Raw genomic sequence first — 17,619 nt, 5'->3', positions numbered from 1 at the left:
GGTGATGTACAGATGGGTTTTTGGTGTGGATGTCCTTTCTGTTTGTTAGTTTTCCTTCTAACAGACAGGACCCTCAGCTGCAGGTCTGTTGGAATACCCTGCCGTGTGAGGTGTCAGTGTGCCCCTGCTGGGGGGTTCCTCCCAGTTAGGCTGCTCAGGGGTCAGGGGTCAGGGACTCACTTGAGGAGGCAGTCTGCCAGTTCCCAGATCTCCAGCTGCGTGCTGGGAGAACCACTCCTCTCTTCAAAGCTGTCAGGGAAATTTAAGTCTGCAGAGGTTACTGCTGTCTTTTTGTTTGTCTGTGCCCTGCCCCCAGAGGTGGAGCCTACAGAGGCGGGCAGGCCTCCTTGAGCTGTGGTGGGCTCCGCCCAGTTCGAGCTTCCCGGCTGCTTTGTTTACCTAATCAAGCCTGGGCAATGGCGGGCGCCCCTGCCCCAGCCTCGCTGCCGCCTTGCAGTTTGATCTCAGACTGCTGTGCTAGCAATCAGCGAGACTCCATGGGCGTAGGACCCTCTGAGCCAGGTGCGGGTTATAATCTCGTGGTGCGCCGTTTTTTAAGCCCGTCGGAAAAGCGCAGTATTCGGGTGGGAGTGACCGGATTTTCCAGGTGCTGTCCGTCACCCCTTTCTTTGACTCGGAAAGGGAACTCCCTGACCCCTTGGGCTTCTCAAGTGAGGCAATGCCTCGCCCTGCTTCAGCTCGCGCACGGTGCGGGCACCCACTGACCTGCGCCCACTGTCTGGCACTCCCTAGTGAGATGAACCCAGTACCTCAGATGGAAATGCAGAAATCACCGTCTTCTGCATTGGTGTGAGCTGTAGACCGGAGCTGTTCCTATTCGGCCATCTTGGCTCCTCCTGGCATTTCTTTCTTATGTTTCCATATTTCTGTTTATTTTCCCTTACTTATTTTTAGCCTTTTTAAATTTATATGTCTTATGTATTTTTCTTTGTTTCTTTTTTTTGCTTAAATATACTACTTAGAGGCTTCTCAACTATGTTGTGCTTTCCTATTGTTTTAATAATGTGGTTATTTTAAAATTTATTTATTTATTTAAAAATATATCAATTTCTGCCATAATTCTCATTTGTTCATTTTTTCTATGGCTAATTTTATGTTTTTAATTTTTTAAAAATATAGTCTAACTCTGAGCAATTTATTGCTTAATAATAAAAAAAAGGCTCAAAAGTTCAGCTTTCACATCACTGATTCAGTTTTTACAGTATGGATTCCTCTCTTTACTGCTTTCAAAGCAGTTTTAAAATTAGTTATTGTATCTTGAGTTTCCTTTCATTTTTTCCTTATCTCGTTCAGCTCCTTTTGCCCTTCTGTCTGGCTCCCAGCTAGCTCCATTTTATATCTCAGTCTGTTGTCTTATCCTCTCATCTTTCATCTCTTGTTTCATGGTGTTCAATTCTTTTCTTTTTACTGCAAGACAAAGCAGGCACTTTTTAAAATCTACTTCTTTATTCTGTAGGTTTGGAAAAACTTTTTAAGTAGGTTTTTTCTCTGATTCTGATGGGCTGAGCTCACCTTATCTTATTGTGTGTACTCTTTTTATATGCTATGTGTTATGATTTTTTCCTCTTTACCCACACACAAATGGTGGCATGATTATCAATAACAAATATGTCCAAAATCAAGTGCGTATATTAACCTTTTCTCCTCAAAGTCTAGTTGGTATCAGTGCCCACTGTAGCCGGCAGCAGGCCTGCTGATCCAGAGAAAAGCCCAATTATGCTGAGGTAGGGAGAAAGCAGCTGTTGATGCCCACTGTGTTTTCTACTTGGAGATGCTTCTGGAATTCTCTATGAATTACTTTCTAATATTCTTATTCTTACTGGAGAAAGGGATTCCAAGGCAAGGGTTCTGTCATTACCCCTCTTTCTAGCTCTTGCCTCTAGCAATCAGGTCCATTTGTTGCATCCAAATATTCCTCTCTTGTCTTTCTGCTTTTACTTTGTTTGTTGTTGTTGTTATTTCAAAATTTTCATTTGAACTCTATCTAGAAAATATCCAACTGAAATTCCTCTGTGTTATTTTTAGGTAAATTGTACTTCCTATTAATCCTGGATCCTGAGGCATGATATCTCTAATTTTTCTATCATTTAAATAATTTTAGAAGGAATTTAGAATAGGATAAGTTAGCACGCTGTGTTCACTATGAATCTTCAGCTAGTATCTGAAAGTTATGTTTATATAAATGTTTATTTTTTGCTGAGAACACATGTCCATGAATGAATGTGATTGAAATTGTAACACCTCATAATGGTGAATTATTAAAAGAATAGACACTGTATATTATTAAATTACACATATGTCTTAGTCTGGGTTCCCCAGAGAGAGACAGAACCAAAGGGAAATATATTTTTATACACAATGTTAAATTATATAAATATGTATGCAATGTTATATATATGTATAAATATTAAATGTGTAAATATATACACATAATATATATGCTTGTAAATAAATTTATTATATGGCATTGTCTCATGAAATTATAGAGGCTGAGTAGTCTCAAGATCTGAAGACAGCAGAAACCTGGGAAAGTTAATGATATACGTTGTTATACTCCAAGTGTGAGTCTGAAGACAAGGGAAGACCAACGTCCAAGCTTGAAGACAGTCAGATAGAGTGAGTAAACTCTCCCTTACTTTGCTTTTTGTTCTACAGAGGCTTTCAGCTGAGTGGATGATGCCCATCCACATCGGGGAGGGCAATCTGCTTTACTCAGACCACCAATTCAAATGTTAATCTCCCCCAGAAACACCCCCATAGACACAACCAGAATAATGCTTCACTAAATATATAGGCGCCCTGTGGTGCAGTCAAGTTGGCACATTAAAATTAACCATTACACAATGTTTTACTTCTGGTTTCATGAATTTTCACTATTCACACTCTGGAACCATCAAAGGTAGGAGCTCCCGTGTAACTACCTGTCAGCTAAATCTTTGTTAAAACAGACATATATATTGTCAGGCCAGTGACTTGCGCTTTGCAGACCTTTTGTATCGATGCTCTTGAGTTCCTTAAGATGAGCTGGTGGGGGGAAGCTGAATCTCCCGTGTGACAGAAGTGTAAGGAGAATATGAAAAAGTCATCCTGCATGTCTAGGGAGAGCAAGACTCTGAGAATAGGTTCAAAAATTGACCATGAATATATGTGGAAATAATATATGAAAGTCCGTTTGTATGCCTGCTTTCTATTCTGCAGTCAGTTTTCTCACTAAGAATATCCCATCTTCAGCAGAAATTTGTAAAGGAATAAAAATAAGAAGGCAGACATAAACACATAGAAACTGAAAAACCCACTCAAGGGATTTTGGTATGTCAGCCTAGCTTCTTTCTCTTCTAATATCTGCATTTTATTCACAGTATTATGAGTAAAGATTCATGTCTGCACTTACATAGAATTCAGTCAATTTCCAGCCGAGCCCAGTAAGGAATTTATCTGCATTTCTGCTGAGATTTTAAAAACTGCAGTATACCTTGGAAATTGTCAAAATGGTGATGCAATGTTAAACTTGCAAATCAGAAATGCAAATAAAAGTGTAAGTTTTATGAGGTTTATATTGCATTGTTTATTCTGCTCGATAGATTCTTATTTTTTAACTGCCTAGCCTAATAATAATCTGAAATACTGTAAACAGCATACGTGTTGGCATATAAGTGAATAAACCTTTGCATTTTGTTATTTCCTCTTTTCAGTCCTTGAAATTCCAGGCTTAATATTGCAGGGCTGGAAGCTTTTTATTCTGCCATGTGAATTGTACAAGTGTCTATCTATGTACGGGCACAATCCATTTTAAATATCCACAAATTTCCCTAAAGTCCCAAGTGGTTTCCTTGGCAACAAGGCTGCTGAAATGTAAAGGGCTAAGGTAGTTAGGATATTGCCTATCATTCTCCCTCTCTAGGTTATTTTAAATAGCTGCAATTTTCTTTGCACATTTGAAAAAATCCACAGTGGTTGGTGATGCAAAGGCGAATATGAGAGACATTAGAGAATAGTAGTACATCAGAGTCTAATTTGTGTGGACAAATTATTACTTTCACTACTCCCTGATTTGTGGAGCACCATTTTCATGTACCAAATTGTAGTACAAAAGAAGAGCAAACCATAAATACATCGGAATAATTTTTAGATAGAATGAGATAAAATATCTGCAAATAGCTTTTGACAATAGAGGCAGTGATTAATAATGGCAAGGTATCTATGCAACTTCTTTTCAATTCACCTGGAATAGCATGCTTATAATGAGGCCAGACCTTGGTACAATGAGTAGAAGAAAATTAAACACACTGAGGGGGACAAGGAATATTCTCTACAACCCTTCCACCAGATGAAACTTCAAATGCCTGTACATGCATTTAGTGACTTATTTTGTAAGTTGTCTTGGTAAATTATTTCAGTTGTTATTGTTTGCTCTCGTTTGTCAATCCACTTCTCACTGTACTTCCTCACAATGGTTTAGCATGCTGTAGGATTTATTTATTTTTAGTTCAGCCCATGGAATACATTCTACAGAGATTATCAAAGCAAAGGGACATTTCCCACTGTTAGCAATTTTGTGGATCAAACTGCACAATTTCCTTCCAGTGTCTCCTACTATGCTGCTATTTCCCATATCTGCATAAAGTCCCTAGCAATGAAGGCACTTGTCTAGTAGCAACAACTCCCCTGAATAAAAATAGCCTATTAAAAATTATAAGCCAGGCTTTTTAGACCCTATCTCACACCCCTATAAACACAGTGATCAGAAGCCTTTGGGAGAACCAAATCAGAATTTGTATCAGTAAAACATGGCAATCCCACTCAAACATCAAGTCCCCATGTTTTCTTGACTAGTACCTGCCATCCTACTGGATAGCATCCTTCCAATTCAGAAATTTGGAAAGAGATTGTTAATTTTGTTTCTTAATAATTTTCTTGTGTATAGGATAAGGAAAAAATGGAATGTGGTGATGGCTTTTGATGGCATATTAATAGTTTCTTATACAGATTTCTGATATTATAAATCTTCACTTACAAAAATTATTTTAAATTATATATTTTAAAAGTGATAAATGCCACTCCAACAAATTTTATTATTCTTAACAAATACCACTCCAACAAATTGTATTATTCTTAACAGATAGCACAACTCTTCAGACTTTCCAATTGAGATTCAACACCTGCCACCCTGGTTCTTTTTTACAACTTCTTTCCTTTCTTCCTTCCTTCCTTCCTTCCTCCCTTTCTCCATTTCTCTTTTTCTTCTTCCTTTCCTCCATCCCTGCCTCTCTCTGTTGTTCTTCTTTCTTTCTTTTTCTTTCCTTCTTTTCCTTCCTTCCTTTCTTCCTTCCTTCTTTCTTTCATTCTTTTTCTTTCTCTTTCATTCTTTCTTTCCTTTTTCTTCTTTCTCTCTTTTCTTCTTTCTTTTTTTCCTTCTTTCTTTCTTTCCTTCCTTCTCACCTATTCAACCAACCTACATGTGGTTCCAGGGTAATTACCAGAGCAAAAATCCTTAACAATAAATACAGTAGTTTTTGACTACAAAGATTCACAAATAGAGACTGTGGCCTATTTTTATATGCTTAATACTTACCGCAAAACATTATATATGTATGAAGCATTTAGTAAATGCTAGCTGAAAGAATGAATGGAAGTATATAAAAGGTGATTTGTGAGAATAAAATATGACTAATTCTATCTGAAGTAGTAGCTATTAGAAATCTTGCATGATTCTAGACTTCATGGCAAATTCTGAGCATGGCTGGACTATCAGATACTTAAAGGACAATGGAGGAAAAGCAAAATGGAATGGTTATAAGGATTTTACATTCATCTTAAGGAATATGAACTTTATCTTGTAGGGTAACTGTTCTTAACATTTTTAGTACATAAATCCTTTTAACTTTTATGATAACTGTGCATTATCTCTCTTTATCTCATTCTCTTTTGCTCTCTCTGTATGCATGTATAAAATCAGAAAATGCACAACTACCTGAAACCCATTGATGGGTCTTCTAGGTCGGGGGTCCCCAAACCCCAGACCATGAACCAGTACCAATCATGGCCTGAACCAGGCCTCACAGCAGGAGGTGAGGAGTGGGCCAGTGAACAAAGCTTCATCTGTATTTAAAGCCATTCCTCATCATTCTCATTACTGTCTGAGCTCCGTCTCCTGTCAGATCAGCAGCAGCATTAGATTTTTGTAGGAGGACAAATCCTATTGTGAACTGTGCATGCGAGGGCTCTAGATTGCATGCTCCTTAGGATAATCTAATGCGTGATGATCTGTCACTGTCTTTCATCACCATGAGACGGGACCATCTAATTTCAGAAAAACAAGCTCAGGGCTCCCACTGATTCTATGTTATGGTGAATTGTATAATTATTTCATTATATAATACAATGTAACAATAACAGACTAAAGAGCACAGTAAATGTAATATGCTTGGCTTATCCTGAAGCGACTCCCCATGCCTTGTCCCCGGGTCCATGGAAAAATTGTCTTCTACAAAACCCATCCCTAGTGCCAAAAAGGTTGGGACCATTGCTCTAGGTCCTTGCCACTCAAGCTGAGGTTCGTGGATCATCAATGTTGATGTCACATGGAAGCTTGTTAGAAATGCTGACCCTCAAGTACCACCTCAGACTAAGATTTTTTTAAAAATCTCAAAATTATCCATACACCTTTATATTTGAGAATTACTGCTTTAGGCATTAAATTAAATTGGCATAGTAAAAAATGATTAAGATACAACATAAGGAGAATAATAAAATGCTCAGATTTTCCACATTCATCTGCCTTTGCTTGTAAAATTCGACATTTTGGAATATTTGATAACTATATCTAAAACAACTGGATGCATTTTGAGAGCAAAAATCCTGCCTCTCACCAAAAATGGGAAGACATTTCTGAATGATATAAGAGAAGCAGAAGAGTATGCTAAATGTATTTGTCTTATTATTCTGGAATCCCTGGCTCTAATTCTTTCTCCATAATTAACTGTGATACCTTGTATTTAAGACCTCAGTTACTTCTTCTCATCTTATAGATGATGACAAAAGTCCCTTGCAAGCTCAATAGTCAAAAATGAATACTTTTGAAAAAAAAAAAAAACTAAAATGTGGAAAGGTAGTGCATGTGACAGTATAGTTTTTGTACCTCTTTAAGAGCCCATAGAAACAAGTAAGATAGAAAAAAAAAATCAAAACCCACAAAACTTTAACAGCAAAGGTAGGAGGAAAAATACCACTGAGTAGAGACAAGTCACCACGATTTGGCAGATCACAAATTTACCATAGTGTCAATGAGACGTCCTGCAGACTGGTTAGAGCAATAGCTGAAGTAGGAGGTGGCCTTCACAAGCTCCAATGTGTGGAGAGAACAAGGAAACTGCAGGAAATTTGAATAATTATGGAATAGTCCAGAACCTATGAGATCTCAGAACTAGTCAACCAAAACATCATTGCTGCATCACAGGATATTAGTTTTCTATCACTGTGTAACAAATGACCACAAACTTGGCACTTTAACACCACACATATTACTGAAGGGTTTGGGAAAATGAGTGCTAACTTGAGTAACTTTGGAAAATGGCTTTGACTGGAAACCGTAAGACTAAAGACAAAAGGATCTGCACATATCTGCACATACATACTGTACTCTAGTTGGTAAAATTGTTTCTTAGGTGGGAATGGGTTATCAATTCTAAAACTGCTATACCTGTAAATGAGAGTTGAACAAACACATGCATGGAGGTGGAGGGTGGGAGCCAGACTTCTCATTTTTGGAGTGGGTGGTGTAGGTAAGCAAGAGGCTTTTTATTAAAAAGTCCCAATAAATCACATTGTACTGGGTGACAGTGAAGGGTATCAGTATTGATGCTTTTTTAGCTTAATATAAATACAGATGGACAGATACAGAAATAATTATAGATATGTATGTACACATGAGTAGATATGCATGCATATATTTCCTAGTTCTGCCCACTGAGAGGGCATAGAAGCAAGAATGCTCAGTCTAGCAATGAGCAAGCCCAGTGTTCAGATCTTAGTTTCTAATGCCATTTGCCAATAGAAAGAACTAGGGTTCTTTGGAGAACTGGTTATAACTAGGGCTGGGCCAGGGAGTACACCAATGAGCCTAGAGCATCTTGCACTACCAGAAAGTAAGGAAGCAAGCACTAAAAAACAAAATGATAGGGGTATGTCAAAGGGACAGAGAAGACAACCTGGAAAAGACCAGAACATTTTGACTAACAAAATAGGTAATGTGGTATTGGGTTATGGCTCAAAGTGTAAAATAAACACCCATGAGTCAGCACTGACATAGTTAAATTATTGAATAATTTTGTAAATGAAGGAGAAAGACAAATCTCCTGAAGAGAAAAATTCCAAATAGTTTATGTGGATATCCCTCTTTTAGGGAGGTGGGGCTTAACTTCCCACTACTTGAGTGTGGGTGTGATAAATGACTTGTTCTCAAATATTAGAGAATGAAAATGGGGGAAATAGTCATTTTACAGTGGAGAAACCTGGCAAGTGATACCTTGGCCAGGAGATAAAAGTTACCACAATCAGTAATATGTTGTGTTGATAATATGCATCCTTGATACAATGTGATGAGAATGTCACTTCACCTTTGTGATCTTCTTCTCAAAACCTAATGCTCCATTCTAATCATGATAAAAACATCAACATGTTCCAATAGAAGGAGATTCTACAAAATAACTGACCAAGAATCTTCAATACCCTCAAAGTTATTGAAACCGCAGAAAATCTGAAAAACTTTCACAAACCAGAGGAGGCTAATGATATGATAACTGAATGTAATGTGGAGTCTTGGAGAATATTCTGGTTCAGAAAAAAGACATCATGGAAAAAATAATAAAAAACAAATGATACTATGGTAATCTAACATGTTGGTAATGGTTGTAAACTGAGTGTGAGGTATATGAGGCAACGAGGGAAAGAAAAAACTCAGTAAAACAAGTGCTACAGCCTTAGGTAGCATAGTCATGTAGTATATGTAATTACATATGTTCAACCACCTTGGCTCTATTTCATTGGTTGTGAAAAAAATACAGGTTCTGCCTACACTCTAGGGGAGAAGGTCATGAAAGCCACATTAATAGTCCATCTGTCACAAGAGCTCTGTGCTGAGGAAAGGTTGTGAGGATTCTAATTCACCTCTAGGATAAGGACTGGAGAGGCAAAGGAAAGTTAAGTATTCAGACGAAACTGCAGGAAGGACACAGACCCAGCAGTCCTCATAAACTGCAAGGTCACTTTGTAAAAAACACTGAAAAAATAAAGAAAAAAAAAGCTGCAGCATTTGTCAAAACCTACCAAACTACTCATTTTATTTTATGCAAATTATACTTAATAAAAATAATATAAAAATTAAAACATAAAATCATGGATCTACTTTGAAGATGCTATGAGTACATTTTCTGAAAAAGTAAAATTGAACACAATTTACCTCAGAATAGACAGAAAGGCTTAATCACCACACCAGAAGCACAGAATTAAAGTGCAAAAATAACACCAGGCCTATATGGATTCACAGGTGAACTCTAACAAACACTTAAAGGTCAGTAATCGCAATTCTACTTTAACTCACTTATACTATAAAAGTAATAAAATTTCTACATTGATTTAAAATAAATTGTATACCACTGATTTCCTAAATCTATCAAAAATCAAAGGCCCCCAAAATAAAACCGTATTTATGATTATCAATATAAATATCTCAAATAAAATATAGCTAATCAGAAACACAGCCTTTATAAAAAATAATACAGCATGTTCATGTGGGTTTATTTCATAGATGCATAAGTGGTTTAATATTAAGAAATCCATTAATATTATTCATCACATTTACAGAATAAGTAAGAATGTTTTTTGATCATTTCTATAGATGCAGAAAATTAATACCCTTCTCTCAGTACAACAGGATTGCATAGAAACTTACTTAACATAATCAAATATGTATCATAGAACAAAAGACAGCATCATACTTAATGTGGAAGCACAAGAAGTTTTCCTGGTAAAGTCAGAAATAAGATTAAGATGCCAACTAACTACCCAGCATCTGTATTGTAGATATTAAACAAGGCAATTAGAAAAAAGAAAGTAATCAGCAGCATGAGAAAGAGTCGAAAAGGGAGAGGAAATGCTGTTTCTATGTTTGCATGATAGGATAATACATCTGGAAAGCCCAGTGGAAATTATGGAGAAAATTACTACAAAAAAAGATAATTTATTAAAGTAATACCTTATAAAGTCAATATACAAAATCAGTAATCTTCAAGTATACATTTAAAAATGAATAAAATCCAAAATGGATGATACTATCTATTTTATGTTGGAGATAGATATATGGAGTATAAATAAAGAACTGAAGAAGTATTCCTGAAGGGTTCAAAGACAGACTTGAATAAATGTAAAGACAATATGTTTTGAATAGAAAATCTGTATCTAATCTCTATCTGTCTATGATCAGGTTTTTGTTAATTTGTAAAATAGACACAATTCTAATAAATATACAATTAGGCTTTTTCTATTTCCCAAAAGGTAGACAAACTATTTTTTAAAATTAAGATCATCTGTAATAACAAATAAGCATAATCATAAAATCCTGATATAGAAATGACTTGGGAAGAAGCAGTGGAAGACAACTAAGCCTGTTTGACATTATAACATATTGTAAAGACACTCTAACTAAAACAGTGTAATACTAGTGTATGCATAGCCTGAAAAGTTAATGTAGAAAAAATAAAATTTAGAATTATTCTTAATTGTATATGGAAATATGGCTTCTTAAATCGGTGAAGATAATATGAAAGGATAGTTATATATTTTAAAAGATAAAGTTGGATTCATTATCATGAGACAAATTTTAAAAATTCCAATTCATCAGAAACTTTAATGTAAAATGTGAGGGCATGAAAGTTCTAGAAGAATACCTAAGTGCGTTTTTCTATGATTACAGGGAAATGTTTCATAATTATTATTAAAACCCATAAGCAATATGGATAATTATAATATTGATTAAAATAAAACATTCACAAAAATAAATGTACATTTCTAAAAATACATTAATAAATTCACTTAAGATAAATATAAGTTAAAAGTACATTGATTTACCACCTCCCAGATATTAAAAATTTTGATAATATAAAATGTGGGTGAGCTTTTGGTAATATTACCATTCTTAGTGGGTATAAAAAATTAAACAACTTCACTGGAGAAGTCGTTGGGTAATTCTAGTAATATTATATAGGCATTTATTCTTTGATATGGTAACATCACTTCTAAAACTCTCTTTTTAACTTGTGCAGACAAATAGAGAGTGATACAGATAACTATCATTGCAGTACTATTTGAAAGAAGAAAAGACTGCAAACCACTTAATGTCCATCTATAATGGACTAGAATATAGAACACTATTGTCACACAATACTAAGCAGTTCCAAAGGGGAAAAGAGGAGTAGTTCTATACGACTGTGGAGTCATTTCAGAGTATATTAAAGAGAAAGCAAGAGGAGAAAAATTCATAAAGTATGTCACTGTTCTCTAAGAAAGGTTGGATAAAAACACATAAGTCACTTTTTTATGTCAAATAAAAACAGGGAAAAGGGAAGTACAATAGTCAAGAAAGGGTCATTCATGTGAATGGGAAAAGGAAATTGTGTGTGTGTGTTTAAGTTTATATGCATGTGCATTTTGGTATGTGTATGCGTAAGCAATAGAATCTAGACATCTCTTTTTTCTTTTTGGAGATGGAGTCTCGCTATGTCACCCAGGCTGGAGTGCAGTGGTGCGATCTTGGCTCACCACAACCTCCGTCTCCCGGGTTCAAGTGATTCTCCGGCCTCAGCCTCCCAAGTAGCTGCGATTACAGGCACGCACCACCACGCCTGGATAATTTTTGTATTTTTAGTAGAGATGGGGTTTCACCATATTCACCAGGCTGATCTCAAAGTCCTGACCTCAGATGATCCACCGGCCTCAGCCACCCAGAGTGATGGGATTACAGACATGAGCCACCATGCCTGGCCAAGACATCTCTGAATATATCTATTTCATAGATTTGACTTTGGAATCACATAAATATTCTGTATAACTAAAACTACTTTTTAAAAAATCCCTAAAAATGTAAAGCAAAATGAATAAAATGAATCTAATATTAGATCAAATTGATGGTATAACTCATAACCACCAAAGAGGAATTATTTCTAGATACTTTAAAACCCAATGATAAGATTAAATGTTCCTAGTTCATATACTGTGAAAAAAAAAGAACTGCAAATGAAACTCAAAAGTAGACAAAATTTAAACTCTGGTCAGTAATCATATTGTTGGAAGTAGTATTAGTATTATTATTCTGAAATTACTGCATGCATCTAATGAGATAAAACAAATAACTATGTTAGTGTCATTGAGAAACTGGATTTTAACTTAGGGGAAACAAGATACAAAAGTAAGATTAAAGAGGCTAAGTAAAAACCCTATAGTTTTGAATTTGAATTTAATATGAAAGTAAGATTTTACAATTTATTTTATTTTATGTTTTAAAATACATTTTCTAGCTCTGTCCACCAAAAGGCTCAGAAACAATCAAACCAGTAGCAATAAACAACTTGGTTCCCAGAATTTGGTGTCTACGTACCAGTTCTAACAGGGAGGAAACGGGTTTTGCAGAAATGGCTGATTTCATATTTTGGGCATAAAATATATGAGATAATCTTGCAAAGTCTTGGCATACCAGAAATAAAAGATGATTTTAATGATTTGTAGGGTCATGACCAATGGGCTTTGCCACAACCTTTATCTGAGCATCAATGCATGTAATAATTGCAAGTGTTGAAATGTGTCAAATATGTCTGAATACATGAGTTTATGATGATTATTTATAAGCAAAATAAGTTTCACAACCTAAAACCTCATTGGTCACATTTGCATAGAGTGACTATCCTGGTTTACAAATAACAGGCAGTGTGGATTATTTTGTTGTCCCAGTATAATAATGAATAATGTCCACTTTCACTTTGAAGTATGTCCAGCTTTGAACAATAAATTATATGTTCAACTTAGCTTTGAAGAATGACAGAGGGAAGATATATTAAATAAAACTTGATAAGCAAAAGTAAATAATTAAGCATTTTAGCCTGACTTTTCTACAGAAAAAAGTCAGAATAGTTATCTTTTACATCAAGATAACTAAATAATAGTTGAAGGGTTTTCCTTATGAAGTATTTCAGCTAATTAATGAATCAAATTTGATAAACTCTTTAACTTAATAGTTTTAAACCTCCAATCAATAAATGAATTTAGGCCATGATTATAATAAAAAAGACAACAAGATATCATATCGTTTATACTGGAATTATACTATAACATCACTTATAAAACATATTTGCCAAAAAATTAAACCTTATCAAGATTTTTTTGTCTTTTTTTCTAATCACCAGTTTACATGATATACAGTGGAGAAGGAAATATGTTAAATAACACTTTAAGGAGGCAATCTGCAAACTCTAGACTGTGGGAAACTAAATTTCTAGTTTCTTAAGCATGAGTTGCAAGAGGAAATAATTAAAAAGGCAGGAAAACCTATAAATTAAATGAGATTTAATAAACATTAACTCATTGCAATATACAAAGTTAATTTGGATATGGTTTCATACAAGCTCTTTAAAATATTTATGTGACAATGAGGTAACTTTACAAACTAATGAGATATTTAATGATGTGAAGTTGTGATAATTGATTGAAATATTTTTTTTTTCAAAACAGCATATTGCACATGATAATTATATACAATCTTGTCAATTAAAAATACTTTTTAAAAAAAGTCCTATTTTAGAAATGTGCACTGACATAAATTAAATCATATGTAAATCCAAGTTTTATTCTAAATAACCTGGGGGATGGAGATGTGAGAGTTATAGATAAACTCATTTGGATCATATGTTCACAGCTGTAGAAGTTGAATGACAGGTAGGTGGGAGGGGAGTGAGTAATTATTATCTCTACCTTTATATATGTTTTAAATGTTTCTTAACAAAATGTTTACCCAAAAGTGCAGGAAAAATGACATATATGGCTGTCTGTATACATAGATTAATCTAAATATGTTTAGTAACTGACTATCTTCATTTAGCCAAGTCATGCTTCTCTTGATTCAAGGAACTCTTGAGTTGGAGATGGGCAGAGGGAGATATTTCTTCCATACATGAAGCATAGTGTGCACATCCACTCAGACCTGAAATGGAGAATGAAGTCCATTCATGTGATTCCCGGACACTGCCACTTTCATAAAGTCAAAATTCCTTCATAAATAGGCTTTTCTTTGTCATTTAGTATTAAGTGGTAATACTATTTTGCCGTTAAAATGAAAAGTAATTTAAAAATTCAATAACTGGTTAAATGTACCCATATAGAGTCTATTTTTGGAACACAAAACTGAAAAATTACGCTGGGCACAAATTCTTTTTAGTTCAACTTTAAAGTGCCATTAAACTTACTGCTTCTTACAGAATGAGGAGTATGCTGATTCTTTAAAACATCAAAAATCTTTGCCATCAAGTCTTATCCACCACCTTGTTTAGGGAATATCTTTTATTAGAACATGCATCTTATAAGCACATATTATATATACTATCATCTGAAATATTTCTTGATTTAAAACATTCATTAGGACAATCATTCTCCTTTTCCTGATTCAAAGATCCATAAATGGGCACATTTAAAGAAACATATCAAAAGAAAAAGTCTGAGAGCTTAACACATGGAATCAATGCTGTATTTTTAACAATAAGATAATATTATATAAACTGAGGGAAAGGAGAAACCATTAACAGAAATACTGAGCATGTTTTGGTTTTGAAATTTTTTTATTGACTATAAATTTTCATATGCTTTAAAAAATTGTATTAGCGGGAGGGATCAAATTTTAAAGAGTGAGAGAGCGTCAATAGCATTAAAAAACTTCCTTTGACCAGACTTCCTTTAAGATATTTCATATGATATTCCTGCAATTACTCCAATCACATTATATTGCTTATTTAAAAAACTGGAGATTGTGGTCTGATTGAGTCAAAAAGGAAGATGTAAAATCCTGGCTATGAAGCTGAGATCCTTTAAAAGTGTACTATTTTCTTACTTCATTTTTAATGTTTAGATCATTTCCTCTTTTAGGCTGTAAGTTTAAGGATGCCTAAAGACCGTATAACAAATCCACTCAAAACCAATGAATAATCTCATAAAATATATAAGCAGTTTGGGTAAGGTAATCTTGTTCATTTTATATTTCCTTCATGATTCTATAATATATATAAAATATGGTTTATTATTTAAAATTATATATAAAAGATTTGGATAGGAAAAAAATTGTAATTGGGTTCCAAAGCCTTTCATCCCTAGATCATTAGTAACTAATATCTCAAACTCAAGAGAATGATGTATTTACCATCTACTTATCATATCCTCCAGAAAAATAGTACTCATGTGTAACAGAGTCACTGGTGTATCTTAAATTCACTGGTTAACTGAAAAAATATGGACTATTATAAACTTTGGTATCTCCACAAATTAAAGCAGTATGTTACTCAGTTCAAACTACCAAACAGTAACAACAGGTATTGTTGGCTGGCAAAATCAGAGGGCTTTTCCTTTTTACCTTATTTTCAGATGCAATTTGTTCTGGGCTTTGTAGTAAACTATAGCTACCTTTTAGTTTTAAATTTATGTCTATACTGTAAATTCCTATCCTCTTTATTTTATAGAGTTAGATTAATTTTCATCATAAGTAATGTGATGACAAAATATAAACAGAAAAAAACATGCAAATATTTAAGGAAATTCTAAATTCTATGACTGTTTCAGGTATGAAGAAACTTGCTCCTTCAAAGGTAAATTTGCTCTCCTAAGAGAAGGCATAATACCTCAATGGATTTTAAATAATTCATTTCCAGTGGGAAAGGACCCAAAATGTTACTTTGGAATAGTTCACATTTAAGTTAATTTAATTATTAACTTTGATACAGTCCAATCTAACTTTGAATCAAAGTCTGAGAAAGACAACAATTAAATACCAAGTGCTAGAATGGGGTGCTCAATAAGAAAACATGAATTTTCCCTATTTTCAGAAGAAAATTGATATATTCCTAATTTACCACAGACTTTTATAGCAAACAAGAAAAAGACAAAAATAGAATACAAGGCAATCAATGTTAATGATTAATATATCTCCTCATTCATTATGACTGCATAGAGCCAAATATGTTATAGGAAAAATTAGAAAGAATATCTACTTAATAGGCCTATTTGTTAATTGAATCACTCTTGCAGATTTCTTAAATTTCATTGTCCCTTATATTTTGACTATATGCATATACATATGCAAGAAAACTTAATACAAATGCATGTATCTATACATATATGAATGTATATATCATGTATATCAAGTTAGTTCTAGCTTTTCTTGAAATTCTCTGAATGGTTTTGAAAATCAGTTCTGCTTTTTCTGAATTCTCTGAAAAGTCATCTTTATTTTGTGCTCTTTTTGCACAGAATATAGCAATATAGACTTGACCGTGGTTATTAAAAGTCCCAATTAATTAAAATACACACACACACACACACACACACACCACCCTTCTTGATCATTTGATAACAGATACTATTTTTATCTGTTTCCTTAGTCTGATGACTTGGAATGAAATATTTAAATTTATTGTATAAATTATTCTTAAACACAAATTACCCAAAAATTATGATGCATGAATTTAGAATTAAAGACTCAAATCTCTTATGATTGTGTACATTTCTTCTAAGCATCAATAAGATGAATGTGGCTTTCCTGAAGGACATTCATATTAAAAAAAATTCATGAATCATTCATTTTGAGTATTGTGATAAATCTATGCTTACCTTTATGTTGTAATTCTTACTAGGACTACGACTGATTCTTCATGCTATGTATCCTTGTTATTAGTCCCTTTCTGATTGCTTTTATCTGGAACAGGAATGAGTAAAAGAAATACTTTCCTTTTGTGGTTCTGGATATTTTAAATTAATACATTGGGCCAGGTGTGGTGGCTCATGCCCGTAATCCCAGCATTTCGGGTGGCCAAGGCAGGCAGATCATTTGAGGCCAGGAGTTTGAGAGCAGTCTGGCAAACATAGCAAAACTTGGTCTCTACTAAAAATACAAAAAAATTAGCCAGGCATGGTGGCATATGCCTGTAATCCCAGATAGCTGGGAGGCTGACGCACGAGAATCATTTGAACCCAGGAGGCAGAGGTTGCAGTGAGCAAAGATGGTACCACGGCACTCCAGCCTGGATGACAGAGCAAGAGTCTGCTTCAAAATAATAATAATAATAATACATGATAGGTGTGCACTGAGATTTAATCAAAGGTGTTTATTTATCTGCTTACAGCGCAATCACTTTTGGAAGCAAAGTGTTGTAATGGATGAAACATAGAAAATATGGAGTAAACTTTATTGTAGCTCTGCCATATACTGCTAGGTATTACCATGAACATTACTATAGTCTCTGAATATTGGTTTCCTGATGATCCAATTAAATGATACCAACCATGCAATCAGAG

At 34.4% G+C, this 17,619-nt stretch overlaps 1 long non-coding RNA gene across 5 annotated transcripts in view; it reads left to right on the top strand.

Moving 5' to 3' along the window:
- The first annotated feature begins 354 nt into the window (after positions 1 to 354).
- Positions 355 to 17,619, top strand: part of LOC102724858 (uncharacterized) — a 175,348-nt gene continuing 158,083 nt past the window's right edge. For 2 of the 5 annotated variants that reach the window (XR_001745961.3, XR_929062.4), the window contains exons 1-2: positions 367 to 522; positions 2,508 to 2,637. This is a non-coding gene — a long non-coding RNA (uncharacterized LOC102724858). Of the gene's footprint in view, positions 523 to 2,507; positions 2,638 to 17,619 lie in introns of all 5 variants that reach the window. The other 3 variants (XR_929061.3, XR_007060968.1, XR_007060967.1) reach the window with 2 other exon arrangements.

This window comes from Homo sapiens, chromosome 8 (genome assembly GCF_000001405.40).
Source record: "Homo sapiens chromosome 8, GRCh38.p14 Primary Assembly".
Lineage (NCBI taxonomy): Eukaryota > Metazoa > Chordata > Mammalia > Primates > Hominidae > Homo > Homo sapiens.
The sequence above is the reverse complement of the archived record's forward strand: the minus strand, read 5'-3'. Positions and strand labels throughout refer to the sequence as shown.